This window comes from Homo sapiens, chromosome 11 (genome assembly GCF_000001405.40).
Source record: "Homo sapiens chromosome 11, GRCh38.p14 Primary Assembly".
Taxonomy (NCBI): Eukaryota; Metazoa; Chordata; class Mammalia; order Primates; family Hominidae; genus Homo; species Homo sapiens.
The window spans coordinates 108,097,987-108,117,064 of record NC_000011.10 but is presented as its reverse complement, the minus strand read 5'-3'; the positions used below and the strand labels follow the sequence as shown (position 1 = coordinate 108,117,064).

The 19,078-nt window shown below is 39.6% G+C and overlaps 2 protein-coding genes and 1 long non-coding RNA gene across 8 annotated transcripts in view; 1 reads left to right on the top strand and 2 right to left on the bottom strand.

Annotated features, from left to right (window-relative positions):
* The window catches only part of ACAT1 (acetyl-CoA acetyltransferase 1), a 30,899-nt gene extending 30,539 nt beyond the window's left edge, over positions 1 to 360 (bottom strand). For both annotated transcript variants that reach the window (NM_001386682.1, NM_001386681.1), the window contains exon 1: positions 163 to 360. The gene's annotated coding sequence lies outside the window, so the exon portion shown is untranslated. The remainder of the gene's footprint in view (positions 1 to 162) is intronic.
* Positions 2,683 to 3,450, top strand: LOC124902748 (uncharacterized). Its single transcript, XR_007062878.1, has 2 exons — positions 2,683 to 3,187; positions 3,280 to 3,450. It is a non-coding gene; the product is annotated as an uncharacterized LOC124902748 (long non-coding RNA).
* CUL5 (cullin 5) overlaps positions 9,304 to 19,078 on the bottom strand; it is a 98,864-nt gene continuing 89,089 nt past the window's right edge. For 3 of the 5 annotated variants that reach the window (NM_003478.6, XM_005271682.3, XM_047427641.1), the window contains 2 exons: positions 18,536 to 18,659; positions 9,304 to 12,875 (listed from right to left, as the gene is read on the bottom strand). In NM_003478.6, coding sequence (NP_003469.2) covers positions 12,681 to 12,875; positions 18,536 to 18,659 — 319 coding nt within the window. In that variant the 3' untranslated portion in view covers positions 9,304 to 12,680. The remainder of the gene's footprint in view (positions 12,876 to 18,535; positions 18,660 to 19,078) is intronic. The other 2 variants (XM_017018363.3, XM_047427640.1) reach the window with 1 other exon arrangement.

Below are 19,078 nucleotides of genomic sequence, written 5' to 3'. Positions count from 1 at the left end.
CCCATCACCCCAATCTATTAATAAAGGCACTTCCATGTTTGTGTATATTAATATGGCAGCACCCCACTTTTCAGTACCAAAATCTGTATTTGTTTCCTAAGATTGCAGCAGCAAATTACCACCAACTGGGTGGCTTAAAACAAAAGAAATGTATTTTCTTACAGTTCTGGAGGCTGGAGTCCAAGATCCAGGTGTTGGCAGGATTGGTTCTTTCTGTGGGTTCTAACGGAGAGTCTGTTCCATGCCTCTCTCCAAGATCGTGGTGGTTGTTGGAAATCCTTGGTATTCCTGGCTTTGTAGAGGCATCAGTCCAACCCCTGTCTTCTCCCCTGTGTGTGGCTTTTTCTCCACTCTTGCTATAAGGACACTGGTCATTGGATTTAGGGCCCATCCAAATCCAATTATGACCTCATCTTAATTTGATTACACCTGCAAGTTCTCTATTTCCAAATAGTCACATTCATAGGTACTTCGAGTTAAGACTCTAATATATCTCTTAGGGGCCAGGTGTGGTGGCTCAGGCCTGTAATCCCAGCACTTTAGGAGGCCAAGGCAGGAGGATGACTTGAGGCCAAGGGTTTGATACCAGCTTGGGCAACACAGTGAGACCCCCATCTCTATGAAAAAAATTTAAAAATTAGCCGGGGCCAGGCATGGTGGCTCATACCTGTAATCCCAGCACTTTGGGAGGCCAAGGCAGGAGGATGACTTGAAGCCAGGAGTTGGAAAACAGCCTGCTTACATTAAAATGCAAGTGGAAGGAGGTAAATTGAGGTAGGAATTGTTACTGGATGGAATGTCTTAACTGTGAGTTGTCCAAGTTCTTGGTGTATTGAACAAAAAATTGAACAAAACGCACTAACAAAGCAACAAAAGAACGGGCTAATGAAGGCACAGATTTATTGAAGAAGCCGAAGTACAATTCACAGGGTGGGAGCAGGCTTGAGCAAGTGGTTCAAGAGCCTCTTCAACTGGGGTTTTTATTAAGCTAAAGGAACCAAGCAACTCCCCTCAGTGCCCTTTAGAGGACTCCAATTGGCCACAGCCCATGAAGGATTGGCCTGTGACCAGAGGCTGACGTGGAGGCTTGGCACACAATCAGAGGCTGATGTGGAAACTTCTGTCTCATTATCACAGGAGCAAGGATGTGGCCTGTGTGCTGCCCAGTTTTGCCTAGACCTGGCTGCACCTGCTGTTCTTTTGTTTCTGCCTTAACCCTTGATGGCCTGAATTCCCTATTCTCCTGCCTCAGAATTGTTAAGCAAAAAGGAACCAGGACTTGATGATTTGGAAAATTCTCAGCCTAACTATACTGCCAAGGAGGAGAAGTTCTGGCCTGAAGAGTGTGTCTGGACAATAATTTGCTAAAGAGAGTTGTGTGACTCATGGATCCACTCAACCGTGTCAGCGAAGCCAGGAATAGAGTTGGGGTTATCCAGGAAAGATCCGTGGAGAACTTGAGAGTTCTAATGGTGTGCATCCCCGTGACATCAACAGAAAACTGACAAGATTTTTGAGAATTTTATACCAGCAGAAATACTCCCAGCCTGGATAGAAAGGGACAGAGACAGAACAAATTGAAGGGAAAATGACTGACTCCCAGGGCAGAGCCATGGATACAGAGGCCAGAGAGGACGAAGCTATAGGTCCAGAGGCCCAGGCCAACTGCACCCCCTGGGCCCAGAGGCTGGATCGAGTCAAAGGGTCATTAAGGCCTTGAAAATGAATGTAGTTTTCCCTTTTGTGTTAAAACCTGTGTGAGACAGTGACCCCTTTAATTCCTTGCAAATTCTTTCATAATGGAAATGTCTGTCCTGTGCTTGCCTCATCGCAGTCCCTTTGTGCTGCTGTAACAGACATCTGATTATTACTGGGTAATTTATAAGTAATAGAAATTTACTACTCACAGTTCTGGAGGCTTGGAAGTCCATGATCAAGGTGCCAGCATTACATGTCTGGTGAGGGCCTTCTTGCTACATCCTCATGTAGCAGAAGAGCAGATGGGCAAAAGGGCACCTAAGCGGTTCCTTCCAGCCCTTTTGTAAGGCACCAATCCATCCATGAGGGCAGAGCCCTCGTGGCCTCATTTCCTAAGGGGCCCACCTCCTAATACCACAACAAGTTTCAACATGAATTTTGGAGGGGACACATTCAAACCATTGCACCCACTGTTGTATTTTGGAAGCAGATAACTTGTTTCCTAGTTTCACATGTCCACAGTTAGGAGAGGAATTTTGCCCTAGAATGTATCATATCATACCTAGAGTCTCAGTGATACCTGGTTTGCATGATTTAGATAATGAGATTCGCAATGTTTTGAGTTGACTATACTTAGAGATTTTGGATTTATAGTTAATGCTGAAACAGGATTTTTGAGGATGTTGGGATAAGGCGAGTGTATTTTGCATGTGGGATGAATGTGAATTTTATGGGGCTAGAGGATTGACTGTACTGGGTTGAAGTGTTCCCCCCAGATTCACATCCACCAAAACGTCAGAATGGAACCTTGTTTGGAAACAGGGTCTTTGAAGGTGTGATTAGTTAAGATGACGTCACACTGGTGTACACTGGCCATAAATCCAATATGACTGGTGGTGTACTTATAAGAAGATGGACAAAAAGATGGCCTCAGGAAAGTGGAGGTAGGAACTGGCGCACTGCAGCAATGAGTTACGGAATGCCACAGATGCTAGCAACCCCCAGAAGCCAGAAAAGGGCAAGAAAGGGCCCTTCCCTGGAATCTTGAGAGAGAGAGAGAGACAGCGCAGTATGGTCCCGGCAACACCTCGATTTCGGACTTCCAGCCTCTAGAATTGTGAAACAATCAATCTGTTGTTTTAGGCCACTCAATCTGTGGTACTTTGTTACAGCAACTCTAGAAAACTAATACTCATCCTGGAGGGATGCACATAGCTAAGACACTTCCTTCACTGAAATCCTGAGACAGGTACAAAGTGTCAACAGAGCTTCTTCAGTGGGCACACAGAAATGTTTGTACGCTCTGTATCAGAATAAGAAAATGATTACGATATAAACAGAAAGATGCAAAAGACAACAGTAGAGTGTTCCTAAAAACCTTCATATGATTTATCCTGGGATTGTGAAAGCTGAAGATACCAGAATAGTCACTTTTGTTGGACCCAGACAAAATAGGGCCGGGAAGGAGGCACATGCATGCATGTCGGAGGTAAGAACTGCTTCCAAGGACTTACTAAAAACTGCTTCACACGCTTCATGCTTCTCCTGCTCTGATAAGGTTTTTCATTAAACATTCTTTAGGACTGCAATAATTCAAACAAGACATTCTCCAAAGGATACCTGCTCAGTAACAGCATCTCCGTCAATGAACTGATAACAACTCTGGCTTTGAACCTATGGAACCCATGGACTCTGTTTCTAAGCAGCTTATGAAAATCTTTTTTTGCTAATAAAAGTTCCCCTTACACAGAACACACTGGATGCTTGCCATTAATGCATTACAGATTGTAATTTTTCTTTTATCCCCAAGTAAACTCAACATATTTAGAGAGAATTTTCTCTAGTGTTTTTGTTTTGTTTTTCAGACGGTCTCACTCAGTCACCCAGGCTGGAGTGCAATGGCATAATCTCCGCTCAATGTAACCTCCATCTCCCAGGTTCAAGCGGTTCTCCTGCCTCAGCCTCCAGAGTAGCTGGGAATACAGGTGCGTGCCATCATGCCTGGCTTTTTTTTTTTTTTTTTTTTTTTTTTGAGAAAGGGTCTCACTCTGTCACCCAGGCAGGAGTGCAGTGGCGCGATCACTGCTCTCTGCAGCCTCAACCTCTCCCGCCCAAGTGATCCTCCCACCTCAGCCTTTGAGTAGCTGGGACTACAGGCGCATGCCAACACACCTGGCTACTTTTTGTATTTTTTGTAGAGATGGGTTTTCACCATGTCAGCTCAAACTCCTCGGCTCAAGTGAGTCTCCCACTTCGGCCTCCGAAGTGCAGGGATCACAGGTGTGAGCCACCACACCAGGCTAGGAAGTTCTTAAGTTCTTAAGTGTAAGACATTAGTCCTACTTGCCCAGAGAATGCCTTCAGACTCATTATATGTTCCTCTACTTTAGAAGATGATGTGGTCTATTCAACAATGATTCCCAAACCTATCAACTCAATTTCATAAATAGTGGGTCCATAATTAAGTGTAGAATTGTACTAGAAAGTGTGAGGAATTTAAAAATGATAAAAGTCTTTGCCCTGCTTTTATGTTTTAGATTTAGAGTGATCACTCAGCCACAGGCTAAAGAGAAATACTCCATTCAAACCTTCTGGGGTCTTGGGGCTCAGGCACTGAATTATAAGCTCAATTAAGAGAAAACTTGAGGTTAGCTCAATGGTTCAAAAATGCCAAAAGCAAACATAATCTTACTGACCACGGCTTAACCACTCTGTACATTTAGGTAATCCACTTCAAAAATGTAGGCCAGCCCAGAATAGAGAAGCATGCAAAAGAAAAAATTAAAAAAAAAAAAAAAAGTAAGCCAGAAGTAACCCAGCAGTTAGTAAACGTGCATCATGGTATAAGCATGTTACAGAGTGTGTGTGTTCAGTGAACACAGGAGAAGCAGAGGTAAACAAAGGCCAGCTTCTGGAGAAAAGACAGAAGTGGAATCAAGTGTGGTGTGGGCAGGGGCGCAATAGGGAATTACATCAAGGTTGCTAACCTGGGCGACTGAGATAGAATTAACTGGAGCAAGTGATAGATGATATGTTCAAGTAGCTGGAAATACATGTTGACTTTAGAAGAGAAACCTGGGCTGGAGACAGTCTGAAGCATCCACATGCAGACAGTGTCAAAGCCAGGGAAGCAGATGACATCACCCAGGGAGAGTATACATACTATGAGATGAAATCATGGGATGTGCAGGCAGAGAACCAGAGAATGAGACAAAGCTGAGAGAGAGAGGAGTGACACCAAGAGAGAATAGTGTCTTTGAAGCCAGGGAATGAAACAAATTCAGTAACTAGCAGTGTTCAAGATGCAAATGCTGTAAGATCAAGTAAGAAAGCTTGAAAATGAACTTTTTTTTTTGTAGAGACGGGGTCTGGCTCTGTTGTCCAGGTTCGTCTCAAGCCATCTTCCCACTTTGGCCTCCCAAAGTGTTGGGATGGTACAGGCATGAGCCACTGCACCTTGCCAGAAATGAACTTCTAAAAGCACTAATGAGGTAACTGATGACCTTGGTAAGAAGGACAGTGAAGACATGAGCCAATTACTACCATATTGAAAATACAAAGGCCAAGCATGGTAGCTCATGCCTAATAATCCCAGCACTTTGGGAGGCAGAGATGGGAGGATCCTTTGAGGCCAGGAGTTTAAGATCAGCCTGAGCAACACAGCAAGATCCCATCTCTGCAAAAATTAAAAAAGAAAAAAAGCCAGGCACGGTGGCATGTACCTGTGGTCCCAGCTACTTGGGGAGGCTGAGGTGAGAGCATCGTTTGAGCCCAGATGGTAGAGGTTGCAGTGAGCTGTGATCATACCACTATACTCTAGTCTGGCCTGGGTAATAGAGCAAGACCCTATCTCAAAAAGATCTAGACAGTAAGACTGTGGAATGCTCTTCCAACATGTTTAGCAGAGAAGGGAAGGGGGAAAATAAGGCCACAGCATGACCGAGGTAAGGGGTAGGGATTTTTTCAAGCATGGTGGGTACTTCAGTATGTATATAGGCCAGTGATTTTCAAACTTGACTGTCATCAGCACCACCTAGAGGGCTTCTTAAAATTCAGATTGTTGGGCTTCACCTGAACAAGTTTCTGATTGAGTAGGTCTAGGGTGGAGCTCAAGAACTTACACTTCCAACAAGTGACAATGCTGCCGGTCTGTGGACCAAAATGGAGAGCCACTGGAGTAGGCGAAGAAAAAAATATCCAAAAGAAGAATGTTTGAAACATTTATGCGATGGAGATATTTAAAAGGCAAAACACAGAGGGAAGGAGAGGATGGAATTCAGAAAAAGATAAAATAGTTGGTCTTGAGCAACAAGTGAGGTGATCTCTTCCTCTGAGACAGGCAGGCAGATGAAGATGTACATGATTAGAGGTAAAGTTTACAGGTGGAGAAAAGGCAAGTTAAGAGTTCATGCCTGAAGGCCTTATTTTCTCTGTTTATTTTTTCAAAGCAATATCATCTACTGAGAATTTAGGAGATAAGGTAGAGTAGGGGTAAATATTAATAATTATACATTTAGCAGCCATGGGAAAACAACATGTTAAAGTATTCCCAAGTTCCACTTATTTTTAAGACAGAGTCTCACTCTGTTCCCTAGACTGGAGTGCAGTGGCACAATCACAGCTCACTGCAGCCTCAGCCTCCTGAGTAGCTGGGACTACAGGTTTGTGCAACCAACCACCGCTGGCTAATTTTTACATTTTTGTGGAGATGGGGGCCTCACTATGCTGCCCAGGCTGGTCTTGAACCTGGCTTCAAGTGATCCTCCTGCTTCAGTCTCCTAAAGTGCTGGGATTAGAGGTGTGAGCCACACCTCGACCATCAACCACTGCTGAAGAAAAATCTAAACAGTATCAGTCTGGCTCAGTAATTACAGCATAATAAAGGAAAAAAGGAAATACTCTATTTCCTTTATTATTAAGTAAAATAGGAAGAAGCCATTAACACTCAGAGAAGTCTTCTGTTATTCTCTAGATAAGTAGAGCAAATCAAAGTTTGGATCAGCGCTCCTGAAGTTAGGCCATGACCAATCCACAAAGCAAGCTGTTACTCATTTTACGCACTCCAGGACATCACTATTAAAGATTTCTAAGCTTGGGTGTGTTAACTCTTAACATTTATATATGCACTTGTTTATATTTTTATATGCATGTATTTTGCTTTAATCAGATGTTCACAAAAGTCTAGAACTCAACTCTCACCATCAATTGTTAATCTAAATTGTCACCCTGCTCTGGGTTGTACACTGTCAAAACAGGAGTTCCGTGATATAAAAAGTCCATATTCTATTGTATAGCCCAGAATGGGGAATGGGAAATAAAGTCTCCACACTTAAAATGTAAAATATTGGCCGAGTGCGGTGGCTCATGCCTGTAATCCCAGCACTCCTGGATGCCAAGGGAGGAGGACTGCTCGAACTCAGGAGTTCGAAACCAGCCTGGGCAACATAGTGAGACCTCCTCTCCGCAAATAAAAAAAAAATTACCTAGGCAAATAAAAAAAAAATTACCTAGGTGGTGTGTGCCTGTGGTCCCAGCTACTCAGGAGGCTAAAGTGGGAGGATCACTGGAGCCCAGGAGTTCAAGGCTGCAATGATCTGCAATTGTGCCACTGCACTCCAGCCTAGGTGACAGAAACTCTATCTCAAAAAAAAAAAAAAAAAAAAAAAAAGAACTAAAACATTGAACTATATTCTCAGGCACATGTGCTATCATTCATTCAGTCCTACTATGTGCCCTTTTTACACTGAGGTTTAACAGGGCTGAATCCAACTTGATATTTTGAGGACCCTCTTTAAGAAAATACAAAACTTGTAGGGCTCCCCCTCCCAGAGCCTTGTACAAGGGGCCCAAAAGCTTAAGCTTATTTCTTGGTTTAAATGAAATCTGTTTCTTGGTTCAGATGAAATTTTATACTGAGAAAATACCTTCTCTAGCTTCATTTCCAAGTCAACTCCTCCCCCAACCCCAAACTCCCAAATGCCAGTTTAAGTCCAAGGTTGAGTTTAGAGTCGTTATGAAGTCAAATGTGTTCCTCCATCCAGTTGTCCAAAACATTTATTGACTACTACAGTAGGAACAAGAAATGATCCCTCAATGTAAAGGAGCTCTATAACATTTATTTATGAATCAATGAATGAATTAGTCTGGCCCTGTTGCCCAGGCTGGAGCGCAGTGGTGCGATCTCAGCTTGCTACAACCTCCACCTCCCAGGCTCAAGTGATTCTCATGCCTCAGCCTCCTGAGTAGCTGGGATTACAGGTATGTATTTTTAGTAGAGATGGGGTATTGCCATGTTGGCCAGGCTGTTCTTGAACTCCTGACCTCAAGTGATCTGCCCACCTCACCTTCTCAAAGTGCTGGGATTACAGGTGTGAGCCACTGCGCCCAGCCTGAAATTTCTTTTAAATTTAGTTCCTCTGGGTAATTAAGTCCCTGTATGCAATTCAAGTTTCTTATAGTCAAGAGTTTTTTCGATTATTAAATTGTTCACTTGATCAGTAACTAATTGCTATTATCTGTCCAGTTTCACAACCTTATTGCCAAACTATTTCTAGCTTAAAAATAAGTATTTCAGGCCAGACGCGATGGCTCACACCTGTAATCCCAGCACTTTGGGAGGCCGAGGCAGCTAGATCACGAGGTCAGGAGATTGAGACCATCCTGGCTAACATGGTGAAACCCTGTCTCCACTAAAACTGCAAAAAATTAGCCAGGTGTGGTGGCAGGCGCCTGTAGTCCCAGCTACTCGGGAGGCTGACGCAGGAGAATGGCATGAACCCAGGAGATGGAGCTTACAGCGAGCCGAGATCGCGCCACTGCACTCCAGCCTGGGTGACAAAGTGAGACTCTGTCTCAAAAAATAAAAATAAAAACAAAAATAAGTATTTCACAAATTTTCAAATATATCCAAAATGTGAAATGATTATGTTTTACATTTTTTACTTTTTTTTTTTTTTTTTTTTTTTTTTTGAGACAGTCTCATTCTGTCGCCCAGGCTGGAGTGCAGTGGCACAATCTTGGTTCACTGCAACCTCCGCCTCCCGGGTTCAAGCGATTCTCCTGCCTTAGCCTTCCGAGTAGCTGGGACTACAGGCGCGCGCTACTACACCCGGCTAATTTTTATATTTTTAGTAGAGACAGGGTTTCACCATGTTTGCCAGGCTGGTCTTGAACTCCTGTCCTCAGGTGATCCACCCACCTTGGCCTCCCAAAGTGCTGGGATTACAGGCGTGAGCCACTGAGCCCGGCCCATTTTTTACTTTTATCTGCTATAAAATTTGAATTTTGTTATGACATAGCCTATCTTAGTTGATGAATATATTAACCACTTTCAGGTTGGAATTTTTTTTTTTTTATTACCTCTTCCAGGCATATAGCCACATGCTATCATCAGTGGAAAAGCTACATTCCTGACTGCTCTCATTTTGAATTAGAATTTGAAGTCTAATATAAATAAGTGGGTTACTTTTCATATTTCTGATTCCTAAGGCTGGCTGAGATTAATTTACCTTCAAATTTAAAAATATACCTACTATAAAAATTTTAATTAAACTCTTTGTAACTATTTTATAGTAGAACATCAACATTTTCTGGATAGGTAAAAGCTTTTATATTACATTTTTATTTTGCAAGAAAATAAATTATACAACTTAAAAAATAAAATCCAAAAATTAAGCAGTTCATCAAAATATTTCAGCCTACTGCATACAGAAACTGCTACCACTTAAAATTGTACAGCATTATCATCTCAGTATGTAGTGGCACACATTCAAAATCGTATAGACCATATGAGGATAGATTACAACTTAGAAACTAAAATAAATTTGTTCAACACTCCAGACAACATATAGTGTAGATGACAGGAAAGCTCTCATGTAATGTTTATTTCACAAACATGACCTTGGAAGAATTCATAAGACAGCATCCCAGTCACTTACATGAGAACAGAAAAACCAGCTTGAGTTTAAGATAGCAAATCTTTCTGTAAAACTAGCAAATCTTTCACCCAGACTGAAGTTTTAAAATTTGCCCTTTGAGCAGTGCTAGAGACATCTTACTGCAAATAATGCAAAATACTTTTTAACTACTCAGGTCATATTTTCTATTAAATTTAATAAAAAGTAAAAGAAAGAAAGCTAACATTTCATTTTTGGAAGGTTTAACATTTATGCACAAAATAAGAGCAAGAGACTTAAATAAAAAAGTTGACAGAACTCAGGGACCCCTCCAATAAATGTAAAAATTGGAAGACTTCAGAATTTATTTCAAGATCCTCATTTAATCATTGGAATAGTAATATTCTAATATTTATCTCATTGTGACCATCAAAATTTTTCTATATTTTTACTTCTTAAACTCTGTCTTATGTCTACTTACTCCGGCAACGAGATGGCAACACAAGTTAACATTTTCCAGATGGGATGTCTCTGTCTTTAAACTAGAAGATGGGTATTCAGAGGTTAAGATAGCCTCTGAAGTGTCTTATTGCCATACCACTAATTTTTAAAAATTAAATTTTTTTTTTTTTTTTGGAGGGGGAGGCTGGATTTTCTTTTCACTTAACTGCAGGTTATATCCCTGCTCGGCACCAATTTTAAGTGTACGCTGGAGAGAAGAGACCTGAATAAAGGATGCCAACTGTGATTCCAGACCTTTACAAACTGCTGGTAAGATTTTTTTTTTCATTTTTTTTTAAATTAGCAAATCTGTTGTTAAATTACTTAAAGAAAATTTAACAATGGCATAGGCACCTTGTCAACTAAATGATTTTCATAAACACCAAAAAGTAGTTAAAACTTTTGTATACATAACCAAAAAAAAAAAAAAAAGAAAACTGTACATTTACAGTATTTGCTGCTGTTCATTCCCCAAAATACAATTAGGACATAATTGGCTATTAAAAATTTATAAAATTTAATAAAAAACTTTGCTATGAATGTAGTGTTACCCACTTTTGCATTAAATTCACCTTCATAAATCAAAACATCATGACTCTCATTCTTAAATTAAATGACCCAAAATTAGAAGTTCCAAAAAAGTTCTGAGAACAATTATGGTTTAAAACAACAAACCTAAATTTTTAAAATGGACGGCAATTTTTCCTGTTTCCTCCTTTGGCATTCTTGTATTGGGACAAGCAAATACGCCAATGCTGAATTATCTGTTAAACATAAGGGCCACAATTACTACAAAATTATTTCTTCTAAATTCCAAATATACCCATTATGAACAGTCACCTAATTAGAGAAAACTGTACGTATTAATTTTAGTTTAATTCTTCACAATATGCTCGGTCTAATAATTGACATTTGCTACCTTAAAGTGTAAAATTTTAAACAAAATTCCAATTTCCTATAAGTTTCAGAACAGGCATTTGGCTATACTCAGCAAAACTCTAAATGTTTTAAAGTTGCTTTCCTTCCATTCAGCAGGCAGTTCACAAAGCCTCTTCGGATGGGGACAGATCCTACGAAATGCTCTTGAAAGCACTCCACTGTAACATAATACTGTATGCCTTTCTGTACTCCATTTCCTACTATCTTCAAAAACCATACTTTAAAAATATTACTTAACATCAAATAAGATATAAAATAATTTGCAAGAAAATTTGAAACGTGCACCACAATGAATAAAAATCCACGTTGAGCCATTCTTTCCTCAAGGGGAATCAATTTTCTCTTTCAAGTTGTTCACGTCCTCAAGTCCTAAAATTTCCACTACTCTGGGTATTCAGTTGCCAGCAACTAGTTAAGTTGCTACTTTGGATAGACTGAAAGGAACATGGTAAATGTTGCCTTCTGACGATTTAAAAAATGTTTATTTTTAAAATATATAAATATATATGTACATATATTTGGCAAGTTTACTGCTCGTATTAAGAGTGCAACAATTTTGCTTCTGTTTTTCAGGTCTTATGTTGTGGTTTTTCTCTTACCCCTAGGTGACTGATTCAAACCTGAGGCTACAAATCCCTAATCATGAGACCTTAAAATACCAAAATACTTCTATGCTACAGATTAAGAGATCAGTTACATAACTATATCAGAGCAGGAGATTTCTGTGTTGTTTTTAATAAATTCAGATATGGCATAATAAATATTAGGTATATAAACATTAAGTGTGTTAGTAAACACACAATATGTTTAGTAAACACACTTAATATGTTTGTTTTGCTATTTTGGCTCTGCAATCATAATGACCTACCTATCTCCATAAATTTTTTAAACTATTGAAGCAACAATTAATATAAGCTTCATTTTTCAAAACAAGCTTTCCAGCCATATTTAAAAAAAAAAAAACTCCTCATCATTTAACAACAACTAAAATAGCAGTCTCCTGCTTAAAGAAAACCAACATTTGAAAGTTGAAAATATTTAATACCATTTTTAGGTCACCATTAAAATCCAGTTATTATACTGAGCAATGTTTGAACAATTTGATACTATTAAATACTTAACTTCTCACCTACATCTGCCGTTTCCCAATGTTGCATTGACCAGCTCACTCTTTTCATCAAAAGAAACCAAGAGTGCTATTTCTAGTTTTAATTGCATTTTTTAAAAACAAAAGATAACAGCATTTTTCAGTGCATGAATATCTGAAGATCCTTCCTTGTGCAAGTACATTTTTTAAGAGAGGAAAAAAGAGAAAAAAGCAACAAGAACCCCACCCTCACCCTTCCCAACTGTATTTCTCCTGGTGGGTACAAATCAAATTCACTTTTAAAAGTTGATAATGGGCTCTTCATGAATGCAAGTTTCTCCACAAAACAGCATGCTGTCAAAGAGTGTGCAACATGAAGGGAATGCCATCATGCTAACTAATGTGATTGGCAAAATATAGTTGTTTTTGTAAGGTAAGGCAGAGATTTTAATATTTATGTAATCAAAGTCCAAATAAACCTTTCTCCAGCACAAACTTTACAACTTTCTGCCCAAGCACTCCAAAATTTGGGTTCTAAATATTGTCCATGATATTCAAAATTATGCCATATATATGAAAGTGTTGATATCAGATTCATCTCTTCTGATGTATTTGTGCTCTATTAGCCACTCTATTTGCTCTTTTATCATTTTCTTTTGTGGCAAGAACATGTTTTTCAAAATTTCTACTAATTCAGTCTGCAGCTGAGCATTACTAATTTTCTTTCTCATTTTCATTATTTGTATGATAGCTTCCTAAAAGAAAAAATAAAAATAAAAGCGCATTAATATACGAAATTATTTTAAGTACAACAAACTGAAAAATGACTTTTTATGCATATTCATCCTCTATCCAACATCTACCCAAATGAATAATAATCACTAGGGGATTAATGTTGAGACTAGTATCTTTTACTTAACAAATAAAAACATCTTTTGTTTTCTCATGCCCCATAAAAGAGAATCTGCTTATTGGGGTGGGGGGATAGGGGAGGGATAAGCATTAGGAGAAACACCTCATGTAGATGACGGGTTGATGGGTGCAGCAAATGACCATGACACGTGTATACCCATGTAACAAACCTGCACATTCTGCATATGTATCCCAGAACTTAAAGTATGTATTTAAAAAAAATCTGACTATAGAGATTTTGAAAAATAAGGAAAAGCAAAATTACCTCTGCTTCTCTGCTGAAAGAAAACTACACCTAATGTTTTAATATTATTTCCTTCAATTCCTTTTTTCCCATGCCATTCACATTCTTAAAAGTTATCTTACCTGTGAAAACAATGTGTATATAACCTGGTATCATGTTAAACATTAATTAAAATATAACAAACCCCTTACACCAAATTTTTCCCTTGTATTCAGTTATTTCTTTGTATAGCAGTACAGGTCAGGTGGGGTCTGTTTTAAAAGTCATTAAGTAGTACTCTTTATATATTTACCAGATTAATTAATTATATTTGCTACAAATATTATCTTCAGTTTATATTGACTCAATTAAATGTTTTTAAGGTTTTTTTTTTCCCCTTCTTCTCTTTAAATACAGACACAAGGTTTTGCTATGTTGTCCAGGTTGGTCTTGAACCCCCAGACTCAAATACTCCCCTGCCCTGGTCTCCCAAAGTGCTAGGATTACAGGTGTAAGCCACGATGCCCAGTCACTTTTAAGTTTCTAAAGAAATAAATCTTTTTCATCTAGGTCATTTTATCAAAATTTTTCTTGATGATTTCCTTAATTACTGTTAAGTTTACAATAAGAGTTATCAGAAAATCATTAAATATTCTTTTCTCTTTTACCTTTTCCAGTACCAGCTCTCTCTTTACCCAACAAAAGGCATGTATATGCCGGGTGTGGTGGCTCATGTGTGTAATCTTAGCACTTTGGGAGGGTGATGTGGGTGGATTGCTTGAGTCCAGGAGTTTGAGAACAGCCTGGGCAACATGGCGAAACCCCATCTCTATAAAAAATACAAAAATTAGCCAGGCATGGTGGCGTGTGTCTGTGGTCCCCGCTATTCAGGAGGCTGAAGAAAGAGGATTGCTTGAGCCTGGGAGGTGGAGGTTGCAGTAAGCTGAGATCACACCACTGCACCACAGCCTGAGACCCTGTCTCCAAAACAAAAGGCATATATCTATCTTAGCACAGATTAGAGTTTGTTGTAAAAGAAATGTCAAAATAGAAAAAGAAGTAACATTTGCTTTTAACGTTTAAAAATATAATTTTGCTGCAAATCAACAGACTTGGGAGTCAGGCACTATTCAGTAAGAGAAAAACTCCTTCAACTTCCCCTATATAGATATGATAACCAGCCAGGGAGGGTGGCTCATGCCTGCAATCCCAGCAATTTGGGAGGTTGAGGTGGGTGGATCGTTTGAGTCGTGGAGTTTGAGACCAGCCTAGGCAACATGGCGAAACCCCATCTCTACAAAATATACAAAAACAAATTAGCTGGGTATGGTGGCACGCGCCTGTGGTCCCAGCTACGCAGGGGGCTGAGTCAGGAGGATCACTTGAGCCTGAAAGGCAGAGGTTGCAGTGAGCTGAGATTGTACCACTGCACTCCAGCCTGGGTGACAGAGTGAGACCCTGTCTCAAAAGAATAGAAAAATAGGCCGGGCATGGTGGCTCACGCCTGTAATCCCAGCACTTTAGGAGGCCAAGGGGAGCGGATTACGAAGTCAGGAGTTCGAGATCAGCCCGGCCAACATGGTGAAACCCATCTCTACTAAAAATACAAAAAATACAAAAAATAGCTCAGTGTGGTGGCGAGCACCTCTAATCCCAGCTACTCAGGAGTCCGAGGCAGGAGAATCATTTGAACCTGGGAGGTGGAGGTTGTAGTGAGCCAAGATCACACCATTGCACCCCAGCCTGGGCAACAGGGTGAGACCCTGTCTCAAAATAAAATAAAATAAACAAAAATAAATAAAAGATATGATGACACCAGAAGGTCAAGTGAATTCCTCTCACCCTTGATGGTATTCAGATACCAGGCTCCTGATCATCATAAATTGGGGTTTATGTCAGGGGTTCAGAGAGGAAGAAGGAAGAAGGAAAGTGTGTTCCTTCAGGCACTTGAAGATTACAGGAACCCAGAGGAAAAGCAGAGGCATTTGTAAACATCCCAGTTTCTCCTTAGATAGAGGTGAAGGTGGTAGTTAGAGAACCTAAGAGGAAAAGAGAGCAGAGGGACACTGGCCCTGGTCCCCATTTGATATGCTGGAGGTCACTTAAAGAGTAGCACAGTATGAGGGAAATAATCTGCACTTCTGACTCTCCCTCAGTTCCCAAGTGTGACAGCAAGAGTTTCGAGCTAATGGACCTGCCACAGGGCCTTTAATGACAGGGCAAGGTGATCCTGTCATTATTCTGCAGAGAACAATGACAGTGTGCCATGTAGGCCAAGGAGCCACACAGAAGATGTAGTGGAGTCTCAGAGGCTTCAAGAGCTCAGTAAGAGCAGGGGAAAGAGAGCAGGGAAGAGGCCATGGGGCCCTTAGCAACTAGAAAAAGAATGAACCATAAATTCATCTGCTGTAGACAACAGCAGCAGTTACCAACAGAAAGCCAAATTCCCAAAGATAATCAACTACTTCATAGCTGCCAAAAGCAAGAATCCAGGACACTGTCATAACTGCATAGATATGACACTCCCTTTACTGTCATTACCAGTCAAGCAAATCCCTCTCACACTCAATATATCCAGATGCCACCTATGCAAATAGCAATGAATGAGGATGAATGGAGTAGGATCAGGAGGAAATAAAGTCTGAGCATTACCTAAAGACAGCTTAGATTATTGGATTGTACATAATTATGGGTCACATTAAGACAAAACAAAAGAACTTCAATTTCTCTGCACATCTTATCGTACGACTACACCCGCTTATACATTTCAACTCTTTTTTTTTAGATGGAGTCTTGCTCTGTTGCCAGGCTGGAGTGCAGTGGCGCGATCTCCGCTCACTGCAACCTCCGCCTCCCAGGTTCAAGCCATTCCCCTGCCTCAGCCTCCTGGGTAGCTGGGACCACAGGCATGCACCACTACACCTGGCTAGTTTTTTGTATTTTAGTAGAGACGGGGTTTCACCATGTTGGCCAGGATGGTCTCGATCTCCTGGCCTTGTGATCCACCCGCCTCGGCCTCCCAAAGTGTTGGGATTACAGGCGTGAGCCACCGCGCCTGGCCACATTTCAACTCTTTACTCCAGGAGTTTATCCTGGCATAGCTACGAATATCTTCTTACTTTTCCTCCAAACAGAAAAATTTCCCAACACCACTTAGTGAATAATTCATTTTCTTTCCATAGGTCATAGAAATTATTTCCTTTATTGTATAAATTCTTCTATACTTACAGAGTAAGGTTTTTTGTTTGTTTTTGTTTGCTTTTTTTGAGATGGAGTCTCACTCTATTGCCCAAGCTGGAGTGCAGTGGCGCAATCTAGGCTCACTGCAACCTCTGCCCGCCAGGTTCAGGCAATTCTCCTGCCTCAGCACCCCCAAGTAGCTGGGATTACAGGCATGCGCCACCACAGCTGGCTAGTTTTTGTATTTTTAGTAGAGACAGGGCTTCAACATGTTGGCTAGGCTGGTCTTGAACTCCTGACCTCAGGCAATCTGCCCACCTCGGCCTCCCAAAGTGCTGGGATTACAGGTGTGAGCCACCGCGCCGAGCCTAAAGTTATTTTCTTCAATTAATCTTCTTGCCATACTGTTTTATTACTACAGATTTTTAAAATATTTTCGTATTTGGCAGGGCAAGTTCCACCACTACCACCTTTTTTTTATTTTTTTAAGTTTCTCAATCATTCTTATTTATTCTGATAAAAAACAATTTGTAAAATTCCAAAAATATTCCTAGTTGAATTTTCATGTGAAATTTTAAAATTTTGAACTTGATATTAATATCAGAAAAACCAATCTTTTATGTTATTCAGCCTAGCTGCCAGGTGCCGTGGCATGTGCCTGTAGTCCCAGCTACTGGGAAGGCTGAAGGAGGATCGCTTGAGTCCATTAAAAAAAAAAAAAAATTTTTTTTTTGTTTAAGTTATTCAACCTTTAATGGAAGAATATAGTTTTTCATGCTGAGCAAAAAAAGTCAGACATAAAAGTACATACTGTCTGGTTCCATTTATATGAAAACCTAGAACTGGCAGAACTAAGTGATGGTAATAAGAATCAGCTGGGGTAGGCGGAGAGCCTGCCTGGAAACATGGGAAGATGACTGGTGTGACACAAATGTTCTGTATCTTAATTGGGTAATGTTCACATAGGTATATATATTTATCACAACTCACTGAAAATTATACTTTGAAAGATACATTCCATTGTGTCTAAATTACAACTAAAAATTTTAGCAACAAAAAAAGAGCTCAACCTTTCTATTTATTCAACTCTCCTTCTGAATCTCCCAGTAAAGGGCCACTCTTTTCATACAGCTCCTACACAGTACTTTTTAAAAAATGTGTATGTATTTTTCTTATTTTATTCTCCTTTTATTTATTGCCCCATAGAAATGCAATTGGTTTTTATTCATTCATCTTTTCTCTGCCACATTATCCTATTACATGATCTATAGGTAATATGCATTTTTAATCTTTTCGTCTTGTTTTATATTTTAAAAAGTACACTGGGCTGGGCATGGTAGCTCACACCTGTAATCCCAGCACTTTGGGAGGCCGAGGGAGGCATATTGCTTGAGCCCAGGAGTTCGAGACCAGCCTGGGCAACATGGCAAAACCCTGTCTCCACTAAAAATACAAAAATTAGCTGAGTGTGGTGGCGCATGCCTGTGGTCCCAGCTAATCCGGAGGCAGAGGTGGGAGGATCCTTTGAGCCCAGGGAGTTGAGGCTGCAGTGAGTTAAGATGGTGCCACTGCACTCTAGCCTGGGCAACAAAGTGAGACCCTGTCTCAAAAAAAAAAAAAAAAAGTACACTGGCCAGAAGTTTCAAATAGTATTAAATGAAAATAGTAAAAGTTGAAAAATTTGGTTTTAAAAGGACTATTTCTAAAATTAAAACAATCATGTGTAGGTGTTACTTATTATATTCAGAAGGTCTTAATCCTAGTTTTAAACTGTTTTTAAAAGAAGAAATGAATATTAGAGAACTTTTTTGGTTCTAAATAAGTTTCCTAATTTCACATTACAATGGAATATGAAACTGGAATTCATATTTCAACTGGAATGGAAATTTTTAATATATTTTTAAAAAATTGATTGAGACAAGATCTCACTTTGTTGCCCAAGAAATCCTGCCTCAGCATCCCAAAGTGTTGGGATTATGTGTGGGCCACTGCACTTAGCCCCTACATGCTTTTAAATTCAAAAAAGATTTCAAAATTTAAAAAAAAAAAAAAAAAACTAAAGTTTTTTTAAACTTCAGACATTCTGTCAACATTACAAACCTGGGTTCTTAGTATTCGTAGTTGAACTATTCCTTCATTCTCTTCTTCTCTCATCCTTTCTGTAGTGAGCTGCAAACGTCCAATCAAGTTGATTTTACCCCTTTTCTGAACCTTTGCATTTTTTCTACAAAAAGAATTGCATCAAGTATTTTATGGTGAAAAACACTTTAAAAATCCTATTATAGCAACAATGTCTGAGAGAAAAGATTTAAAAATATGCTAAAATATCAGAACTGTTTAAAGGTTAAATGACAAATAACCTACATATTGCTTTAAAACAAACTCTATGTATTTTCCTTAAACATGATAACTAACCTGTTAATAAAACAAGTGACTACATTCTCTGTAAAAACAAAGTTAATATTTTATATTGCCATGAAAGTGACTAGCTAATTGAAGATATATGGGTTAGGATTCAGTGTTATTGCCTAACTGGGTCTTAACAAACAAAAACAAAAACAAAAACAAAAACGAAACAAAACAACACAAAAAACGCTTTCTCTGAATAAAGTTGCTTTAGAGCACAAAAAGATATCAACCTGA